Source organism: Homo sapiens, chromosome 16 (genome assembly GCF_000001405.40).
Source record: "Homo sapiens chromosome 16, GRCh38.p14 Primary Assembly".
Lineage (NCBI taxonomy): Eukaryota > Metazoa > Chordata > Mammalia > Primates > Hominidae > Homo > Homo sapiens.
In genome coordinates, this window is record NC_000016.10 from 66,323,104 (window position 1) to 66,345,477 (window position 22,374).

Sequence of the window (22,374 nt, forward strand, 5' to 3'; positions counted from 1 at the left end):
AGACGCTGAGTGTCCTGCCCCCTTCCAGCTCAACTGCCTCCAGACAGGGGCCCCAGGCCACTTTGCTGGGTGCTACCACGGCTCAGGGGCCACAGTTTGTGGTTAACTCTGTTCTGCTTTGTCTTGTAGGAGTTACGGGTGTGAACTTCACGCCACCTCATTGCCGTGCCAGAAATGCCATGTTACTTGTTTAATAGCCAGTTAATCTCATCTCTAGGCCCTGCATCTCAAAGTGGTGAGAAATTTCATCTCGACTTCTTGGGATGGGGTGGGATGCACCCTTAGGTGCAATCTGGGTGGTAGCGCCTCCGGTTCTCAGGTTGCTCTGTTTACCTTGAGTTCATTGCCTGCTGTTCAAGCCCCTTATTCCCAGTGGGGCTGGGTCAGGGATCCCCTTTGCCCAGGATCATTAGCTTCCTAGGGGCTCCACAAAGCCAGTACCTCTTAGGTCCTGCTCCCCCTCCCCCAAAACCCAATGAGCAGGGCACCCAAAACCCTATGTCCTTTCCAGTCCTGGGAATTTCCTCCCACGGGCTATATCTGTCCTCTTGCCTCTACCTTTCCAGAGTGTTCTTCCCTCCCTCCCCTGCTTCTCTTTCCTGGACATGGCAAAGCTGACCTGCTTTTCCTTACTCACATGCCTCTACACAGGCATATTGATTGATCGATTGACTTAAGGATTTTTTTTTTTTTTTTTTTTGAGACCGAGTCTTGCTCTGTCACCCAGGCTGGAGTGCAGTGGCGCGATCTTGGCTCACTGCAACCTCCGCCTCCCAGGTTCAAGCAATTCTCCTGCCTCAGCCTCCCGAGTAGCTGGGACTACAGGCACCCGCCACCACGCCCGGCTAATTTTTTGTATTTTTAGTAGAGACAGGGTTTCACCATGTTAGCCAGGATGGTCTCAATCTCCTAACCTCAGGATCCACCTGACTTGGCCTCCCAAAGTGCTGAGATTACAGGCGTGAACTGCCACGCCCAACAGGATTTTTTAAAATTAATAAAACTCTTAGTCCACTGGTTTCAAATGAGTGGCTTAGAATCTAATACTTTTACTAATACTAATACTTGTAACACAATAAACAATAAGGAAGAAAGAGCTCTCATTTGTTGAATTCTGCCACAAGCAGACCGTGTCACAGAAGCTTCCGCACAGGAGCAGTTCTCATTCCCAGCTGCACACTGGACTCGCCTGGAGCTTTCTTTTTTTTTTTTTTTTTTTTGAGAGAGTTTACCCTTGTTGCCCAAGCTGGAGTGCAATGGCGCACTCTTAGCTCACTGCAACCTCCGTCTCCCAGGTTCAAGTGATTCTCCTGCCTCAGCCTCCCCAGTAGCTGGAATTACAGGCGCCCGGCACCATGCCCTGCTAATTTTGTATTTTTAGTAGAGACAGGGTTTCTTCATGTTGGCCAGGCTGGTCTCAAACTCCCAACCTCAGGTGATCCGCCCACCTATGAGCCCCACGCCCGGCCGCCTTTTTTTTTTTTTTTTTTTTTTTAACTGCTGATATTCAGATCTCTCACACCAGAAATTCTGATGAAATTGATCCAGGAGGGACTCGGGATAGACCCAAGCTCAGTACCTGCCTTAATCACCCTGATGATTCTCAATGTGCACCCAGGCTTGAGAACCTCATCGGGGCCCTTTGAGGTGAGTGTTGTTAGTGTCTCCATTCTGTAAATGGGGAAACTGAGGCCTAGAGGCTTTAGGAAGAGGTGGAGGTGGGAGCAGGGGAGGCAGAGCCAGGGGCTGCCCAGACTGGGGTAATTCGTCTGGCGGCTGGGGGAGGGGGAACTCTGCCTTCACCCTGCTGCTGTCTAAGCAGATCCTGGCTGGGGTTGAGGATGCGGGCTGCAGCCTTGGGCCATTCACAGCGAATCACCAGTGGGTGGCGATGGTGGAGAAAATAGACTCCAGCCGCCAGCCACAGCCAGGGAGGAGGGAGCCCAGGCAGATGGCCCTGCCTGCCTGTGAGTCAACCCCTCCTTGGCACTGGCTGGTAGCCCCCCAAACAAGGACCATGGTGGGCTCCTGTCTTTTTCCCAGGGCCAGGCTGTAGCAGATTTGGCAGTTGGCTGGGTGGGGCTGGCCCAGGCTTATGCAGGAAGAACAAATTTCAGATAGGACCAAATTCTGCAATTAAAAAAAAAAAAATAGCAGCCCCATGAATAAAATAACATATAGGGGGGGAAAGGGGGTAGTTCTCCTGGTCCCAGATCATCTGGCTTCAATTCCCACAACTGGCAGCGGAGTAATAGTGAGATATATAATTAGCAGCTGTTATTACATTACCATGCCTGATACATGCTGATTAGATGCCATTCACATGGAAAGAACTTGGGTGACTTACGCCCCACCTCGGCTGTGAGAGAGCTTCAGACCAGGAAGGCCGAGGGAAATGGTAGGGGTCGGGGGGAAGGACCCCTGGCCGAGCCTCTGGACCTCTCAGAGTGGACAAAACACATCCTAGATATGCCCCACCCCATGTCCTCATTTACATAATGGAGACACTAACAATGCTCACCTCAAAGGGTCCTGGTGAGTATCACAGCCCACAGCCCCCCTCCCCACCCCAACACCTCAGTGGGACTCATTTTCCTCCCCTGTTGATGAAGCAAGCCCTTTGGCTTGTTGGACCCAGCATCTACTTCCCCCCACAGCATGACTCCAGGGCCAGCAGCGATACTTCACATTCCCCATCAGACTCTCAGAAGACGTTCTGTGTATTAATCAATTCAGGACACTTAGGGATTCTGAGCAGCTGGTTATTTCAAAACAGCATTTCACATGGTCCAGCAGGCAAGCCCTGCCCAGGACTGAGACCAGACAGGTCCTCGGGTCAGAGCTGCTTTCCCAGATCTGCTGGGGCTGGGGAAACTGTTCTCCAAGGCTGCCACCCCACTAGTTGATTGAGTGAAGTCTTGAGGGGCTAAGGGAGGGATACTGGATCTCTGCAGGGATGTCTAAACCAGGATCCTCAGACTGTGTTTCATGTGCCACCCATGCCACCGTTGGTGCCTATGAAAATGCAGATTTCAGGGTCCTGCCCGAGCCCTGCTGAATCACTGGGAGTGGTGGCAGGCCTGGGAATCTGTATTTTCACAAGGCCCGCAGACAATTTTCATTCACATAGAAGTTTGGGAAGCCCTGATCTGAGGACAGTAGAGGCCACGTGGTCACCAGTATGAACATTCAGACTGCAGGAAGGTGGGGATTGTTCAGATGCCCTGGGGCCCAGCTCCACCGTGTGCCAGCTCCTTTGCACACACAGTCTCACTTATGCATTACAACAGGGGGGGTCGGGGGTCCCCATCACCATGTTACAGATTAGGAAACTGAGGGTCACAGAGGCCCAGGTCTCAGCTCATGTCCTCTCAGGGACATGAGCACAGAAGTTACTGGAGCCCCCCAGTCCCTCCTTGTCACAGCACCTGAAACTAAAATCATTTTGTTTAGTTCTTCCTGCACATCATCACCTTGACCATTCTGCCTGTCAGCACAGCCCCAGCACCAGCATGAAGCCGGGCAAAGGGTAATGTGCACTGAAGGGTGGAAAGGTTGAGGTCGGGGCTCACACCTAGGTCTGGGGACTCCAGGGCAGGGAATGGGCAGAAAGGGACAGGGTGCGCACAGCCAGGCCGCGACTGTGAACCAGGCTAGAATGAGCAGACAGACAGAGGAGCCGGGTTAGAAGCAGAGCCGGGAGGGTCACAGCTCCTGGTTTGCAGGTGAAGAAGCTGATACAAGAATGAAATAGGGCCTCCCCACACATGAACATCAGGTGTGCTCCACACACCTCTCCCTCCTCTGCCCATGAGTGGAATACTTCCCCACCAGTATCCTGGGAGCCGGATCCCAAGTTGGACCCAGGCTGGCCCACACTCAGCCCTCCAGGGTTCTGGAAGGGTCTGCTGAGCCAGGCGGGCCAGGATGGAATGCAGGCAAACAGCCCGGTCACATCCATCGGCCAAAGACAATTGCATCGAGCCTCTTTCTGGGAAAGACTAATATTTACACTGCATGCTAAGCAGCTGCTGCAGCTGCTTCAAACCCACCCTGCCAGCGCCAGCTCGGGCCCAGCAAATGGACTTTTACCAGGCAGCAAATGAACATGTCAAGCCCAATCAGTCCATCGCCTGTGGGGGGTGGGGGGACAGCGAGGGACGGTGACCTCATGCACTGCTGTCCCCGATAGCACCGGGCTCCTCCTGTGCATGTAATCTGCTTGGCCCAGGGAACTTCACATCCAATCTCCACACATCTTGCGCCTGGGCAGAGGCCACGCAGAGCAGAGGAGGCAGCTGTCAAGAGAGCGAGGTGGGGTGATGCTGATGGGGACAGGGTGGGCTGGTCAGCCCTGTGCCCGCTGAACCACTCTGCGGGGAGGGAGAGGAACGGGGCCTGACTGGGAAGTGTCAATAGGCAAGTCTGTAGCCCCAGAGCTGGGGAGGGTGTCACCCTTCCCTCCCATCTCCACTCCAGGTAAATAGCAGACGCCTTTGTTCTCTACTCTGCCCAGAAAAGCTTTGAGGGAAATGTCCCTGCTTCAGAGGAAACCATCAGAAGTTTCAATGCCCCAGCCTGAGGCCTTCCTTAGACAGCCCCCTTTGCAGGCTCAGCTTTAGTCACTGGTGGATGTCCGGGACCCAGCCCTGACTCCACCCTCACCCCTGCCACCCACCCAGAACCTCTGACATGCCTCAGACCCCCAGGAGTACCTCCTTCTCCAGCCCTGACCATACTGGTCTTAGCACCAGGCTGGATTCCTGTGTAGGCCGTGAGCTTCCAGAGGACAGGAGGGAGTGTTTCCCTCCTGTGTCCCAGGCCCAGGCCCAGCTGAGTCTCTGCTGAATGAAGGCAGAGAGGGCACCCATTGGGTGGCAGGCACTGGGCTGGGGGCTTTACCTTCACTGAGATCCCTAGAGGCCACAGTGATCCTGAGGGGTGGTTGTCAGCTTCACCACTTTACCAGGAAAACTGAGGTCAGTGGGGCTGACACTTGCTTAAGTCACACAGCACTTGGGGCACACCTAGGATGAGAAGCCTGAGTCCCTTCTGGTGTCCCAGCTAGGGCTCTTCCCACCACACAGCGCAGCTGATGTCGTTACAGCACTCATTTAGGCATTTTGTGTTTAAGATTTTGGCAGAGAACGGTTTTCATCTCATTCGTACACAGACATAGTCCTTTTTTAAACTAACCACCAGAAAATTGCCCCATTTACACCGGTTCAGATCCCGTAGTGAATAACCATTGCCCCAACCCGGCCACGCACCGAGCCACCCCTCTTGCTGAAACCTCGTCTCTATCCACAGACCTCACTGGAGGCCATCCCATCACCAAAGGCAGCCACCAGCCAGGCGGATGTGGCCCTCATCCAGACCTCCCGCCAGATGGCCACCCACTGGTCATTCCAAGACCTCATCAGGAGCAAAGGCCTCTCTGCCTCTGCCTACCACACGGCTGTGCCCTGCCCTTCAGCTCTCTTCTGAAGGAGAGAGGAGACCCGTGGCAGGACCAGGGTGGGGCATGAAGCTGGCTCTGGGAGCAGAACGGGCCCTCTGGGGGTGTGTGAACCCTTCCAGTCACAGACGGGTAAGGTCTGCAAGTTGTGTCTATTTCTGGTGGAATCGGCTTCAAATCAGGGTTTTAAATGGAAGTTCATCTCGCCCTAGAAACAGAGGCTTTGGCAGGTGTCATAGGCAGGTCAGGGAGGAGGGGTTGATAAAGACCCCTGGAGTAGGCTGGGCACGGTGGCTCACGCCTGTAATCCCAGCACTTTGGGAGGCTGAGGCAGGCAGATCATCTGAGGTCAGGAGTTTGAGACAAGCCTGGCCAACATGGTGAAACCCGTTCTCTACTAAACAGACAAAAATTAGCTTGGCATGATGGTACATGCCTGTAATCCCAGCTACTCGGGAGGCTAAGGCAGGAGAATCTCTTGAACCTGGGAGGCGGAGGTGGCAGTGAGCCAAGATCATTCCACTGCACTGCACTCCAGACTGGGTGACAGAGTGAGACTCTGTCTCAAAAAAAAGAAAAAACCCTGGAGTAGATCCAGCTCTCTCCTTTTACAGATAGGGAAACTGAGGGAGGGAAGAAAAGGCGCTTGCCTGAGGACACATGGAAAGTTAGTAGCCCTGCCAGAGCTCCAAGCACCACCCCAGAGCCACCAGCACCCAGATGCAGTCCCATTAACTCACTCACAAACAGGGAGGCCAAAGAGGTTCTCCAACCTTCCCCAGCCACACAGGCCAAGCTGCAATCAGACCTTGCCTTCCCAGGCCACTGAGCTGAGAAGAGGTTATAAGGTCAATTCTTCCATCTTTAATAAAGAAATTGGGGTGGTGTGGAGGTGCTACCAGAACTGAGCAGGAGGTCCTCACAAAATACTCTGCCTCACCTCCAGACGCCAGCCATGCCCAGGACCTCGGGAATGCTCACACCAGCACGAGGGTGAGGCCAGTTAGCACATCTTTGACAACCTCGCAGAGGAGCAAACCCAGCTGACCTGCCTCAGAAGGGCTGCCAGAGCCCACAAATACAAATATAGGATGTCCGAATCAAGGTGTCCACAGAGCCACACTCCCCTCTGGAGCTCCAGGGAAGAACCTGCCCCACGGCGCACTCTTAGCCCCTGCCATTGTGGTCATCCTGGGCATTGCATTACTCCATTCTCTGCCTCCCCTGAGCCACATCCATTAGATCGTCACCTGTCTAGATCTCCCTTTGGGTCCCACTGGGGAGGGGGACTAGTGGCGTTCTCCCTGCACATCTGTGTGTCGTCACATGTCCCTGGGTCTGCTGTCTTTCCTCTCTGTGTGTCTCTTTACCTCTTCTTTTTTTTTTTTTTTTTTTCTTGAGACAGAGTCTCATTCTGTCACTCAGGCTGGAGTGCAGTGGCACTATCTCGGCTCACTGCAACCTGCATCTACTGGGTTCAAGCAATTCTGCTGCCTCAGCCTCCCGAGTAGCTGGGATTACAGATGCCTGCCACCACACCCAGCTAATTTTCATATTTTTTTAGTAGAGACGGGGTTTCACCATGTTGGCCAGGCTGGTCTCAAACTCCTGACCTCAAGTGATCTGCCTACCTCAGCCTCCCAAAGTGCTGGGATTACAGGGATGAGCCACCATGCCCGGCCTTCCTCTTCTTTTAAGGACACCAGTCATATTGGATTTAGTCCACCCTACTCCGGTATGATCTCATCCTAATTTAATTAAATCTGCAAAGATCCCATTTTCATACAAGGTCATATTCAGAGGTTCAAGGGTCAGCCGGGCGCAGTGGCTCATGCCTGTAATCCCAGCACTTTCGGAGGCCGAGGCGGGTGGATTACTCAAGGTCAGGAGTTTGAGACCAGGTTGGCCAACATGATGAAACCCCATCTCTACTAAAAATACAAAAATTAGGCAGGTGTGTGTGGTGGCATGTGCCTGTAATCCCAGCTACTCAGGAGGCTGAGGCAGGAGAATTGCCTGAACCTAGGAGGCAGAGGTTGCAGTGAGTCGAAATCATACCACTTTACTCCAGCCTGGGCAACAGAGTGAGGCTCTGTCTCAAAACAAAAAAGCAGTTCAAGGGTTAGGGCTTGAACATATCTTCTGGGGAAGACACAATTCAGTCCACAAAAATATGTCCCAAATATTACATGGCACATATTGTAACTTAAAAAGTATCTGTTATTTATTTGAAATTCAGAGGCAATTGTGGTGTCCTGTATTTAATCTGGCAATCCTATGCACAACTCACATGGAATTCCCCAAGTTTCCACTGCCTGGCCCCTGGGTTTGCCCTCTAAAAAGTAAACTATTTTAAAAGAGGGAGAAATAATGGGGAAGGGGGAATCAACTATTTATGAACAAGGGTTAGTGTCCAAAAGGCACTTGAAAATGACAAAAGATGAGGGCAAGATAGAAGTAGGGGGAGGACAGATATTCAGTCCCAACTTATGCCTAGATTTGGGCTGGGCACTGCAGGAAAGACAAAGATGAAGGGGTCTGATGACAGGGGCAGGTGGCTGCCAGCTCTCGAAGGTCAGGAGGATATGCAGAATAAGAAGGGTACTCTGGGTGCTGCACCTGCCCAGGGCCAAGCAGTCACAGGTCCGGGGAACCTGAGCACATAGTTGGGAAAGCATTTCTGTGGGGTCACTAGCACCCCAGGCCCCTCAGCTCTGCCCTTGATGGAGCATACCTGAGCCCTGCTCCTTGGTCTCCTGCCTTTCTCACTCCACTCCGTCTCCTGGAAAATGCACCCAAACCCCTCAGTCCCACTTGGTGCTCGAATCTACTGAGCAGAGTCACTGAGCCACCTCCTAGGTTGTCATCTGCCTAGGTCTCCCCTTTGGGTCTCTTTCAGGAAAGGGACTGGCAGGAAGCAAGGGAGACAGGCTGACTCCCTAGCCTGGAGGGCTGATACTTCTAAGTGAGGCAAGACTCAACACACAATGCAATTTACCAAAGCCTGTCTAGGCCTCCCTGCCACAGACTGTGATATGGTTTGGCTGTGTCTCCACCCAAATCTCATCTTGAATTGCAGCTCCCATAATCCCCATGTGTCATGGAGGAACCTGGTGGGAGGTGATTAAATCATGGGGGCGGGTTTTTCCCATGCTGTTCTCGTGATAGTGAATAAGTGTCACAAGATGATGGTTTTATAAAGGACAGTTCCCCTGCACACACTCTCTTGCCTGCTGCCATGTAAGACATGCCTTTGCTCCTCCTTTGCCTTCTGCCATGATCATGAGGCCTCCCCAGCCATGTGGAACTGTGATTCCATTGAACTTCTTTTCCTTTATAAATTACCCAGTCTCAGGTATGTCTTTATTAGCAGTGTAAGAATGGACTAACACAGACTGAATGTTTGCATCCCCCCAAAATTCTTAAGTTGAATCCTAACCCCCAGTGTGATGGTATTTGGAGATGGGAACTTTGGGAGGTGATCAGGTCATGGGAGGGGAGCCTGCATGAATGGGATTAGTGCCCTTATAAAAGAGACCTCAGAGAGCTGCCTCACCTCTTCTGCCATGTGAGAACACAGAGCAAAGACAGCTGTCTATGAACCAGGAAGCAGACCCTCACCCAATGCTGAATCTGCCTGCACTTTGATCTTGAGCTTCCAGCCTCCCAAACTGTGAGAAATAAGTTTCTGTTGTGTCTGAGCCTCCACTCTATGGTATTCTGTTATAACAGCCTGAACGGACTAAGACACGTCCCCTCCTGGGTGGGGGTAGAGACTGACTTAGCTGGTGGGTTGCTGCAGAGTTGGGGGTTGGAGTTTCTCATCTGGCAAGAGAGGAACACTGAAGCCAGGGAGAGAGCAGAGCCAGGAGTACAAAATGAAGATCTGAAAGCCAGAAAGGAAAGCAGGGTCCCCTCACCCATCCCCATCACCCCATCAGCAGCATCAGCAACCTTTCCTGAGCACTTACTACAAGCAAAGCAGCAGGGGAAGGCTATCACATGTCTTCCCTCCCTAAACCAAAGGGCCAGAGAGAGAGGGGACCCGAGAGGGGTGCCCACTATATTGCTTTGTTAAATTAAACTTACGGCCAGTTATCAGAGTCACCCAGTGGTGATAGAGCTAAGGGCCATTCTTGGGCCGTGTCCAGAACAGGCTCAGGTGCCTGGTAGGTGTGGTCTGGGCCTCTAGCAGGAGCTGGCTGGTGTGCCTGGGCTGAGTGCCCTTGACCTCTTAGAATGGAGTGTGCCAAGTGGAGGGGGCCTTTGCAGCCAGGCTGCTGGCAGAGGGACACCATTTGTGCTGCTAAGCTCTCAGCGGAGACAGCATGCCTGAGCCCAGGCCAGCAGGACAGACACTCACCGAGGGAGCTGGGGATGTGAGCACATCTGCCCTAAACACAGACCTGGCATCCAACTGACTTGGGCAGCGTTTGGTGGAAGATGCTGGATGTTCGTCCCTCAGGCTGCCTCCTCCAGGGTCTCGCATCCAAATTAGTCTCTCTCTGGCTCCTTCTCTTGCGTGCTGCAAACCCAGCACCCTCACACACATGCTCACACTCACAAACACTCATGCACACTCATGTATAAGTCATACCTACTCTATATACACAGCATGCACATCCTCACACACACAAACCCACACCTGGGCACACACACACACACACACCTTTCCATAGATAGATCGATACCGGCACATACACACACCCATCCATAATAACACGATGAAAGCTATGGACTGGAATTTATTTACAATGTGCCACACATGCAGAGAGCACTCCCTCACAATGCCCAACTTTGCAATTGCACCCACAGCTTGTATTTAAAGCATTTCCCTGGCTCACCAGTGGAAAATAAATTTCTTTTCTCACTTTCCAGATTTGCTTTCATCAACCTGGTGCCAATTTCCACTTAAAAAATGATATCCAGGAAAGACCAAGAACCTAGAAAGGAAAAATGAATCTCGGCTCCGACAGATAGACGGGAGCCAGAGCTTCCCTACCATGGAGCTGACGCTGTAACCACCTGTCTTTGTGGCAAAGATGCAAGGTGATGGGGAATATTTGGATAGGCATGTGGGGCTTGTGCTGAGGCCAATGGTCAGTGGAAGTGAAAAGGATGAGGGGTGAGGCGTTTGCAGCCTAGAACAGACAGACACTGGGACCGGCAAGCATGCAGATGATAGGAGCAAAAGTGAGCGACAAGAGAGCAGCGACAGCTCAAGCACATGAACAAGCACAGGGCACTGACTTTGATCAGCCCAGGGTTGGTACCACCTCTGAACTGTGAGAGAACAGGGTGGGGAGGGAGAGTTTGATGGTTTTCCAGAAAGTTATTGTGGCAGCTTCAACCCTCATCAGGAAGCTGCTTCTGCCCCTTTGTGACAGGGAGAAGAACGAGGTAACCTGGCAAACCCAGAGCATTAAAATGAGGGAATCAGGGCCAGGCATGGTGGCTCATGCCTATAATCCCAGCACTTTGGGAGGCTGAGGCACACGGATCACTTGAGGTCAGGAGTTCGAAACCAACCTGGCCAACATGGTGAAACCCCTTCTCAGGGCTGGGAGGGGAGGAACTGTTCTGGGCCTCTCTCCTTGGCTTACAGAGGGACATCTACTCCCTGTGTCTCCTCACATCATCTCCCACTATACCTGTCTGTCTCTGTGTCCAAATTGCCCCTTTTTATAAGGACACCAGTTGGATTGGATTAGGGCCCACCCTAATGACCTCATTTTAAATTGATTACCTCTGCAAAAACTCAATCTCCAAATAAAATCATATTCTGGGGTGCTGTGGGTTAGGACTCCAACCTATCTTTTTGGGGGTGGTGGGGATTGCCTCATAATTTAGTGCAAAACACCTCCAGACCAGATCACCTTAATAACAGAACTGACGAAGCCCCTGGGATTGAGTTTAGCACTTGCAGTTCATGACCCAGCAGGAGTCACAGAGACAGACCCTGGCTGAGCTCGGTGGCTCACGCCTATAATCCCAGCACTTTGGGAGGCTGAGGCAGGTGGATCACCTGAGGTCAAGAGTTCAAGACCAGTCTGGCCAACATGGTGAAACCCCATCTCTACTAAAAATACAAAAATTAGCTGGGCGTGGTGGCAGGCACCTGTAATCCCAGCTACTCAGGAGGCTGAGGCAGGAGAATCTCTTGAACCCGGGAGGCAGAGGTTGCAGTGAGCCAAGATTGCACCATTGCACTCCAGCCTGGGCAACAAGAGTGAAACTCCATCTCAAAAAAAAAAAGAAAGAAAGACCCCCAATTACAGAGGGTAGACTTAGCACCATCCTGACTACCTCTAACAGGTTTTCCAAAAAAATCAAGGCTCTGTGTAGTGTTTTAAGGTTTTTTGTTTATTTGAGTCACTTATTTATTTTTCTTGCAAAATAATCATTCTACAGGGATAAATGCCTTTATTTGTATTCCTAACTGAGAATGAGCACAGTCTTTTGTGTTGGCTGGGCTCATTAGAAACAAGTCCCTGAGGTCTACAATGGGCTCATTTTCACAGTTACTAAGTAAAGTCAACCTCTTATGAAAATCGTAGTTTACAACTTTAAGTAAATAAACACAGTTTTCTACAAACATTCTAACAAATTTAGTTTCCTATAACAAATATTCACAGTCTCATATGTAAAAGTCTACAGTTCTTGGAACTATTAAAAATAAACCTTTCAATATTTCAGGAAAATTCCCTGTCCCCTTAGGAAATATGCTGGGACAGAAAATCAACTCTACGATGACAAGACATAGCGTAAATACAGATTTAACTTGAATTTCATGGTAACGGGTATGTAAATATTTGCTGCACTTCTCTCATCTATCTAAATAGAGGCTAATGGCTAATCCAGGGTTTTGCATTCTCAAAAGTGCTTGTGCCCTCTCAAGGCACCTGCTACCAAAGCTGAAAGCCTCTGGTCTCCACTTAATTTTAATCAAGTCTGATTTAAAAGTGTTTAGGGTTTATAATTGTTAATTCTACATAGCTGCTAGAAAACACTCCCAGGGCCCCTTTTCTAGAAGTCATGACCTTGTTTGGGTGGGGATGGGGGCGGCTCTTAGGGCAACTCACGTAAGATAAACATGGGTTGGGGGCAAAAATGTTGAGGCCAGCCTGCCCGGGTTGGAATTCTAGCTCTGCCATGCACTAGCAGCAAGTACTTGAGCAAAGTATGTTAATTTCTCTGAGCCTCAGTTTCCTCATTTGTAAAATGGGGATGATAATAATAATAATTTTGTTAGATCGTTCTGAGAATTGAATGAGATCATATGCGGGTGGTGGACGCTGTAATGTGACTCCCACTTCAGAAACAAAGCTTTCTTCTCCCAGCTGCTGGGCGTGCTGCCAAAGACAGCCTTCAGCTGTCCGCTCTCTTTGGGGGCTGTCTCAGCTGCAGACTGCCCTGCCCAAAATTATACCTCCTGCTAGGGTGGCTTGCATCAATGACTGATCAACGTAGGGATGTAAAGGCCTGTCCCCCTTGTCCCAACTCGGGACATCCCAGCTCCAGAGCTTCCCATGGGGCTGGCCGAGCTCTTCATTGGGACTGCATCACAGCTCAACTTCTCCCTCTGCCCCATCCTGCTTCCTACTCCTTCTTCTCCAAGTGTTGATCCACAGACACCTCCCCTCCTTCATAAACATCCTCTACTCTAATCCTTGACTCAGAGTCAGCTTCCCCAGCAAGAACAGTAAGTGACAACATATAAAGTATTCAGAAAAGCATTATTTAAGTGTCTGTTAAATAGAAAGTTAGCAGGTAAAACTGAAGTTAGAAACCACAGGATGTCCTCTATGCCTTGGAAGCAAAGATGTCTGGGTCCAAATTTGTCTCAGAGGTAGAAACTTTGGGAAGCTTCTAGAATGGGAAGGAGGGAACATCACTGGACTGCATGCCTCCAAGTCCCTGGAAAGTAGAGAAGCAAGGAAAGATTTGGGGGCTTCTCTGCACCTCGCTGCCCTGAAGCTCTCTAGGAGAGACTGGGGGAAAAGTAGGAAATGTGGAATTTTCTTCCAGAATTTTTCAATTTTTTTTAAATATGGGATCTCAGGATGATCTCTACTGTTAAGAGCTCGACACTGTTTCAGAGCAAGAACACCTGGGACAAACAGAAGAGTGGAATTTAGACCAGAGTGGAACAGACACTGGGGACAGCTCTTAGTCAGAGGTGCCTGGGATGGAGTTTAAGTTTCTCATTCAAAACTTCAAATGCCAAGCTTTTAAAGGAAGTGTCTCTCTCCATTGTGATATGGGCCCACTCCCAGTCAAGGAGTAAAGGACTGACCATGTACCCCTGACTCTTACCACTGGTCAGCTTGGACATATGCCCCTCATCCCCCATCAAAAAGCAGACATCAAAGGCATGAGACTAGTGTCATGCTAAGAAGGGGCTTTGGATGCAGTGGAAGCCCAGAGGGAGTGGAGATTGAGTCTGACTGGAGCAGTGAGGATAGGCTTCCCAGAGGAGATGACGTTCAAGGAGGGCCTTGACAGACGGGTAGAAGTTCTCCAGTCACACAAAGAGCAGAGGGATTTCTAGGCAGAGGAAATGGCACATCTATTGACACCTAGACACAAACAAGCAGAGGATGTTCAAGAAAAATGTAGGGGGTTCGGTGTGGCTGGAGCTTGGAGGACTTAAGAACTGCCTTGAGTGGAAGCTGGAGAATCACAAAGTGACCATGGCCAGCCCCAGATCCCAGACCAAAGAACTTGAATTTGATTTGGAAGGTGATGGGGAACCCACAGGAGCCCTCAAGCAGAGGATTGGCCGAGTCAGCCAGTGTTGTGGTAACATTATTTGGGTGATGGGTATGGAGGAGAAAGTAAAGGGCTCTCCTGGCCATAAGGCAGGACTTTCTGGTGTGGGCTCGTCAAATAGGAGAAAGCAACCTGAGTTTTGCACTTCCAGATGAAAGCTGGAAGACAAACACCCATTTGGAAAAGGCAGAAGGTCCCCGGTTGGAGGAGACCAGGGAGCTGGAGCAGTTTCCTCCGAAGCAGCTGTGGTGTACACGCGTTTGGATTTGGTTTGATTACTTAAACAGAATGTACTTCTCACTGCCTCTCCTTGTTTTATATCAACATCTGAGGTGGCCGCAACAGTATCCAAATTATCCAGGGACTTGCTCAGCAAACAGCAGACGCTCAGCCACAAATCACAGCTGGAGAGCCCGTTTTTCTATGGAATTTTCAGCCATAAAAGGGCCCAGATGTTCTAAGAAAATTTTCTTGGTGCTGAAAAGATGCCAGATCTTAGCGAAGAACTGCAAGAAGATGGTTAACTTTCAGTGGGCTCCTTGGAAAGTGGCCCTGGGAGGGATAATTGCACACAGGAGGTTTATCAGGGAGTGTTCCTGGAAGACACACCTGTGAGGAAGTGAGAGGGGCAGAGCTGGGTGGAGGGAGGAGCTGACCCACAATGCAGCAGCAGCTGAGGTCTGAGCCATTCCCACAGGAGCTAGGAAGCCTCCAAATGGAAGCAAGGAGGCTGGCCTTGATATCACCTGTGTTGGCCACTCCTTAGCCACAGGCTGTCATCTAGGAGGAGCAAGGAAGCTCGCACAGCTGAGTGCAATGTCCAGTAAGCAATGCCATTGTGAACTGATATCCTTGGCAGCTGAGGGATGGGTGCATGAGCCCTGAAGAGGGGAAATGGGCAGAGCTCCCCAATATCTACCACAGCTGGTATGTTAGGCTGTCCTTGCATTGCTATAAAGAAACAATTGAGACTGGGTGATTTACAAAGAGAAGAGGTTTAAGTGGCTCATGATTCTGCAGGCTGTACGGGAGGCATGGTGCTGGCATCTGCTCAGCGTCTGGGGAGGCCTCAGGAAGCTTTTACTCATGGCAGAAGGCAAAGTGGGAGCAGGCACATCACATGGCCAGAGCAGGAGAAAGAGGGAGAGTGGGGGAGGTGCCACATACTTTAAACAACCGGATCTCATAAGAACTCACCCACTACCGTGAGGACAGTGCCAAGCCATGACCCAAACACCTCCCCCCAGACCCCACCTCCAACACTAGGGATTATATCTCAACATGAGATTTGGAGGGGACATCCAAAGTGTATCAGCCAAGATCCAAATCTGCCTCCTGACCCATGAACCCCCAAAAGATACAGACTGTGCAGCTAGAGCAGGATTCAGAGACATGCCACATTCAGAAGAGAGGACCCAATTCAATCCACCCACGGTGGCCTCTGTAGTCCTTTGCATCAGCAAAGTCACATCCAAGCTCAAGGGCCACCTTGCTGGACAATGATGCCAGTAGCCTAAGAGCAGCCAGAAAGCCCCGCTGGAGACCCAAGATTACTCCAGAGAGCTGACTCTGCTATGCGCGATCTGCATGGGGTGGCCCAACTAGACAAGTGATTTTTGTAAGGGTGCCACCTTACTGAGTGACGGACTTGACTGTGAAACTTTTTAAAATACACATGCTCCCCTATTTCTACTTCAGAAAGTCTGAGATGGGCCTGGGTATCTGTATGTTTCTAAAGCTGAACAGGTGATTCTAATGCGCAGGCCTCCTTGAGATCCCACTCCAAGGCCAGCCTGGATCCACCAGTTCACAGGCGTGCGGGTCAGGGCAGACCTGGGATCACAGACTCTAATGCCGGGGGCTCAGGTGGGTGTCACTAGTATGAGTGAGTTGGGTGGAGACAGATGCTTCCCCAGTTGTCCCCTCCAAATCTCATGTTGAGATATGATCCCCAGTGTTGGAGGTGAGGCCTGGCGGGGGGTGTCTGGGCCATGGGATAGATGCCTCGTGGCTTGGCACTGTCCATACAGTAGCGCATGAGTTCTCATCAGCCGTGCTCTCTCCATGCTGTGTTCACCCTGTGAATCAGAACACAGTTCTGATACTTACTAAATGGGAATGGGGTCTCAGGGAGACCAGAGCTTTCCAGATAAACTCGAAATCCAGATTGGTATGCAACATCTGATTTTAAAATGCTGACGATTAACTCAAATATTCTTAACATCGTGTAAGCCACACAAAACCAATCTGTAGGCCTGGTTCTGTTCTTGGGGGCACCAATTCATGAATTCTGGTGTAGATCACCCCAGACCAGGCAGTGTGAGGAGTCCTATATAGACCAGTGTAGGCCGTGGGTTGACCAAAATGGACAAACCCAAACTAGACAGGTTGAACTATCCTGGATTTGACAGCATGAGTAGTCCTAGCTTGCAGACTTTAGCTCATACTCAATTAGCCAACCTGGAGCATTCTAAATCGAACGGTGTATGTTGTCTCCCCCTAGAGACATTTGTCAATATATGGAGTGTTTTTTTGTTTGTTTGTTTTTTGTTTTTGAGAGGGAGTCTCGCTTTGTTGCCCAGGCTGGTGTGCAGTGGTGCCATCTCGGCTCACTGCAACCTCCTCCTCCCCGGTTTAAGTGATTCTCCTGCCTTAGCCTCACCAGTAGCTGGAATTACAAGTACCCACCACTACGCCTGGCTAATTTTTGTATTTTTAGTAGAGACAGGGTTTCACCATGTTGGCCAGGCTAGTCTCAAACTCCTGACTTCAGGTGACCCGCCCACCTTGGCCTCTCAAAGTGCTGGGATTACAGGCATGAGCCACCGCACCCAGCCTATGGAGTCTTTTTTATTGTCACAGCTGGGTGGATGCACTGTCCTCTAGTGGGTGAAGGCCGAGGATGTTACTATCTACATATCCTACGATACACAGGACAGCCACCCCCACCTCCAATAAAGAATTATCCATCCAAAAACTCAATAGCATCACTGTTGAAAACCCTGACGTAGAACATGCTGGATAAAAATGGTAGCTACCAGTCACATATGACAATTAAGCACTTGCTAAGTGGCTAGTGAAACTAAAGAACTAAATGTTTTGTTTTTATTTTAATTCAATTCATACTTTATGAAATCTAAATGCTAATCAGGTATTTCCAGCAAAATGTTAACATCTGAATTGAGATGTCCTGTAAGTATAAAATATACACCAAATTTCAATGTCACAGTGTAAAAAAAACTCACTGATAATTTTTTATTAATTACATGTTGATTTGATTATATATATACACTATATATATACACACACACATATGTGTATATATACATGTATATATTTTTAGACAGTCTCTCTCTGTCACTCAGGCTGGAGTATAGTAGTGTGATCTCAGCTCACTACAACCTCCGCCTCCCAACTTTAAGTGATTCTCCTGCCTCAGCCTCCCAAGTAGCTGGGACTGCAGGCGTGTGCCACCATGCCTGGCTAGTTTTTGTATTTTTAGTAGAGACAGGGTTTCACCATGTTGGCCAGGCTGGTCTGGAACTCCTAGACTCAAGCAATCCTCCCACCTCAGCCTCCCAAAGTGCTGGGATTACAGGCGTGAGCTACTGCACCCAGCCTAATTTGATAACATTTTTGATAGATTGAGTTAAATAAATATTATCAATGTTGATTTCACCTGTTTCTTTTTACCTACTAGAAAATGTTAAACAGGTGGCATGCACTGTATTTCTATAGAAAAGAGCTGGTGTAGAAATCTCGGATTCTCCAGCATAGATAGTCCTGGGTCAAACAGAGTAGAACATTCTGGATAGGGAAGTTGGAGGTAGAGGGGGAGATGAGATGAAGAGGGGAGAGGAAGGTAGATCACAGGCTCTGGGAGGAGTTTGTAGCTCCCATGACCTAAGTCACTGGGGAGGCACTGGAGGATTTTAAGCAACAGAATGATGTAATTAGATTTGTGTTCTACAAAGATCCCTCTGGCAAAAGTGCGAAATGGATTGGAAAAAGACAACTCTGACTTTTCCATAGAAGATGTCCTAGCAGAGATTGTGACTGTATTAGGCTCCTCATTGCATCTGCCATGCCACCTGGCAGACGCATGAGTGACACTCAGTAAATACTTGAATGAATCAATCAATCCCAATCAGTCAATGGCAGGTGCTAAAGAAACCCCTGGCGCTCTGTTCCCTGGTCCAAGGTCATACCTGAGTGTGGTCCAGGAGACAGCAGAGCCTGTTTCTCATCTTTTCTGAGTACAGATTAATCCCCAGCTCTCACCCTCCTACATTAAAAAAAAAAAAAAAAGGAGCATGAAGAAAAATATCATTTCTTGGAAAGCAACACTTCTCAGTGGCTGTTTTTCTTCTTCAAATTATTAGGCGAGAATATGTTTTTCAGAGGGAGGAATTGAAGGCATAAAGCCCAGAATCCATGTTCCCCAAAAAATTGTGTTTACTTTCTATGCAAAGAGAAGCGAGGCGAATGGAAACTCCATCAGCTGGGGAGTGGGTGCTGTGGAGCCTTACGGAGAGTGTATTAGTCCGTTTTCACACTGCTATAAAGATACTACCCCAGACTGGGTAATTTATAAACAAAAGAGGTTTAATTGACTCACAGTTCCACATGGCTGGGGAGGCCTCAGAAACTTACAGTCATGGCAGAAGGGGAAGCAGGCACCTTTTTCACAAGGCAGCAGGAGAGCGAGTGACAGTGAAGAGGGAAGAGCCCCTTATAAAACCATCAGAGCTCCTGAGAACTCACTATCACAAGAACAGCTGGGGGAAACTGCCCCCATGATCCAATCACCTCCCGACGCTTGTGGATTACAATTCAAGATGAGACTTGGGTGGGGACACAGAGCCAAACCATATCAGAGAGCAAGGGACTGGCTCACTGATTCCACCTAGGAGTGGGACAAGGATGGAGCAAAGCAAGTCCCCGACCCCAGCACCAAGCCCACAGCTGATGACTTTCAGGCTGTGTGACCCCGGGCAAGTCTACACAACCTCTCTGGACTCACCCTGGTCCCCCAGGGTAGTTTCTTTAGCACAGGGGGTGGCACCTAAGAGTCCCCAGCAGAAGACCCCACAGACACCTGGATGGGTGGGACAGGAGTGGGAACACAAGGACAGCAAGGGGAACAACTCAGCTGTGCAGCTGCCAGCAGGGGGCAGCAGGGAGGGTGGTCCCTGACCCTCTGGGCTGCAGTTTCCCTGCAAGGAAGGAAGAAATGGGATTGTCCCTAAGCTCCCGTTGATGCTGCGTGTGTGAACTCTCCTCTGTGGGGCATGTGTCAGGCAAGGCGGACACCAGGAAGCCTCAGCAAGCACCAAAATCTAAAGCCGAGGAGAGGGTGGTGAGCTGGAGCTGCCTTTCCTGGGGGAGCACGGGCTCCTTCGAGGGCTGGAGGGGCCCCCACTTCCCAGAACAGTTGGTCAAGGTCTTCTCCCCATCCTCCTTAACAAATTCCTTTCTGGTGGAAGGAGTGCCCCCCCCCCGCCACCTCCCCGTTCCTCTTCCTGCAGACTGGCATTGCCCACTCCTGTCCCCACCCCAAAGGTTAACATCGCAAAGAGAGGGACATTTTTTACTATAATTCAAGGGGAAGGGGGGCACAATGAGGCCTGTGTCCCACGCTGTCAGGAAGTTCACCTCTGTGGTGTGAGGGTTACGTGGATGGATGTTCAGATATCGTGCCTGGAAACTCCTTCTCCCTCTCCTCCTCTGCCTTCAAAGCTTCCCCACCACCTTCCAGAAGGAGAACAATGGAAAACCCCCAGCAGGGGCTCAATGCAGGAGAGTGGGAACCCAGGAACGGTGGGTGAGGCAGTAAAAAGACTGAGCCATAGGAGGAGGACCAGAAACATCTGCCACCCTCAGAAGTGGACAAAGACCCCACGTCCCGGAACAGAGCCTAGGAGATGCCGAAGGGACCAGAGCGGTCTCCCCCAGTGGTGTGTGTGAATAATCGATGGTTCCCCTAAAACTGGAGCGGAAAAAAACTATGTTCGCCACCTGCGATTTGTGTGCTGGGCCCTCCCCTCCCCCAGTAAGGGGCTAGAGCCTCAGAACACACAAAGCAAAATACACACTGAGCGCTTCCAACACTGCCTCCTGGCTTCTGCCAGGAGTGTCTTCTCTGCCAGAGACCATGAATTCCCCTGACCCTGAGTCTTTTCTCACCCCATTTCCCAGCCCAAGTTCCCCTCGCTTCCTCTCTGACCTTCCCAGACTGTGGGACCACCTTCTCCAGGCCACTTCACTGGCCCCATAAGCCTCCTTTATCTGAATACGTATTGCTTTATAAATATTGATCGATGGCCCACTGTGCAAGGCACTTTCACAATCAAAATCCCATTTCATCTTCATAGCAAGCTTTGGAAGCCGACTGTGGAATTGTGCCCACTTTTCAGATGAGGACTTTGAGGCCCTCAGGTTCAGGTCCCTGGGCAGAGCTGTCCAGCAGTTATTTGTGACTGGAAGAAACTCAAGTCATGTACCCCTGCTCCCCTCCTCCTCTTCCACTTCCTCACGGTCATCATCCCCTCCATCCCCACAGTCTGAGGGAGAGAGCATCCACGCCAGCTGGCTTGATAAGGTGGAAAGAGCACAGACTTTGGAGTTAGATGTGGGTTTGAGTCCTGACTCTGCTACTCACCAGCTTTTTGATCCAGGTAAATCTTCTCATCCCCTCATCTGGCAGGGACTAAGTAGCCTTAACTACAAATTGGAGGTTTTGTCATCCAGACCCCATCAAATAGCCAAAAGGAGATGATGAGGCAGTATGGATGCAGCTCCTCGTACCGGGTCAGTAGAGATGGCATCATTGTCCTCATCACAGCGATGGCGAGTCACAGGTGAGGAAGGTGAGGCCAACAGATGCCAAGCAACTTGCCCGAGATCCCATAGCAGGCAAGCAGCCAAGATGAGCTTCAGATTCAGGTCTCTTGACTCTAGCTTGAAGGCTATCTTTTGTCCTCCCTCTATTTCTACTGAACTTGGTTTCAGCAGGAAGCAGATTGAGCAGCCCAGAGCCAGAGGGCAAGTGACAAGCTGACTTGGCTTTCCTTGAAGAGCATCCATAACCCCACCTTCCTCCAGCTCTGGCAGAGGACAGAGCTCAGCAAAGCCAGTTTCCCAGCCATTCCCCCCAGCCTTGCTAGGCATCAGCCAAGCAAAACATCACCAGGGGATTTAAGAAACACTGTGCATTGGGCATTAAGAGATTGGCCATTGCTGCCTTCTAGTGTCCCTGTAAAAAAGGTCAGTCACTCCAAGGCTTGAAGTTCATGGACCAAAAGAAAAGAATACATTTGGGGGAAAAGAGTTGCCCACACTTTATTTCACACTAAATTAGATTGTGCCACTTTCATTGCTTGACATTCTCCAGTGCTGCCATCTAGTGGTGGATCCGATATAGTAGCCATTAGTCATTATGTAGCCGTTTGAATTTAAATTTAAAGTAATTAAAATTAAATAAACCTGAAATTTCAGTTCTTCAGTCACACTAGCACACTCCAAGTGTTCAGTAGCCACATGCAGGTAGTGGCTACCATATTGACCATTACAGATACAGAACACGTACATCATCACAGAAGCATCTATGGCAGAGGTCCTCAACCCTTGGGCTATGGACGAGGTATGGGTCTGTAGCCTGTTAGGAACCCGGCTGCACAGCAGGAGGTGAGCAGCGGGCAAGTGAGTATTACCACCCGAGCTCCGCCTCCCGTCAGATCAGTGGCAGCATTAGATTCTCGTAGGAGCGCGAACCCTATCGTGAACTGCACATTCGACAGCTCTAGGTTGTGCGCTCCTTATGAGAAACTAATGCCTGATGATCTGAGGTGGAACAGTTTCATCCCGAAAACACCCCTCCACTGTTCATGGGAAAATTGCCTTCCATGAAACCAGTCCCTGGTGCCAAAAAAGTTGGGGACAGTTCCACTGCAGCAGCTTCCCATTATCGGATTTACGATGAAGCATCATACTCCTAGCCATTACCCAGATGATCCAGCCCAAGGCTCAGAGCATGATTTTCCTAAAATCCACAAAGCTAACACATGCTGAAACAGATGTGAACCCATGTCTGGCCCATAAGCATTCGCCATCACTTTCGAGTTCTTCATCACTCCACAGCATGA

At 50.1% G+C, this 22,374-nt stretch overlaps 1 annotated feature.

Moving 5' to 3' along the window:
- Positions 1,395–1,932: an enhancer, noted in NCBI's record as "H3K4me1 hESC enhancer chr16:66358401-66358938 (GRCh37/hg19 assembly coordinates)". NCBI's record gives its function as "activates a minimal SCP1, AML or CMV promoter by ChIP-STARR-seq in naive H9 embryonic stem cells {active_cell/tissue: H9 hESC(naive)}" and the evidence as "EXISTENCE:reporter gene assay evidence [ECO:0000049][PMID:30033119]".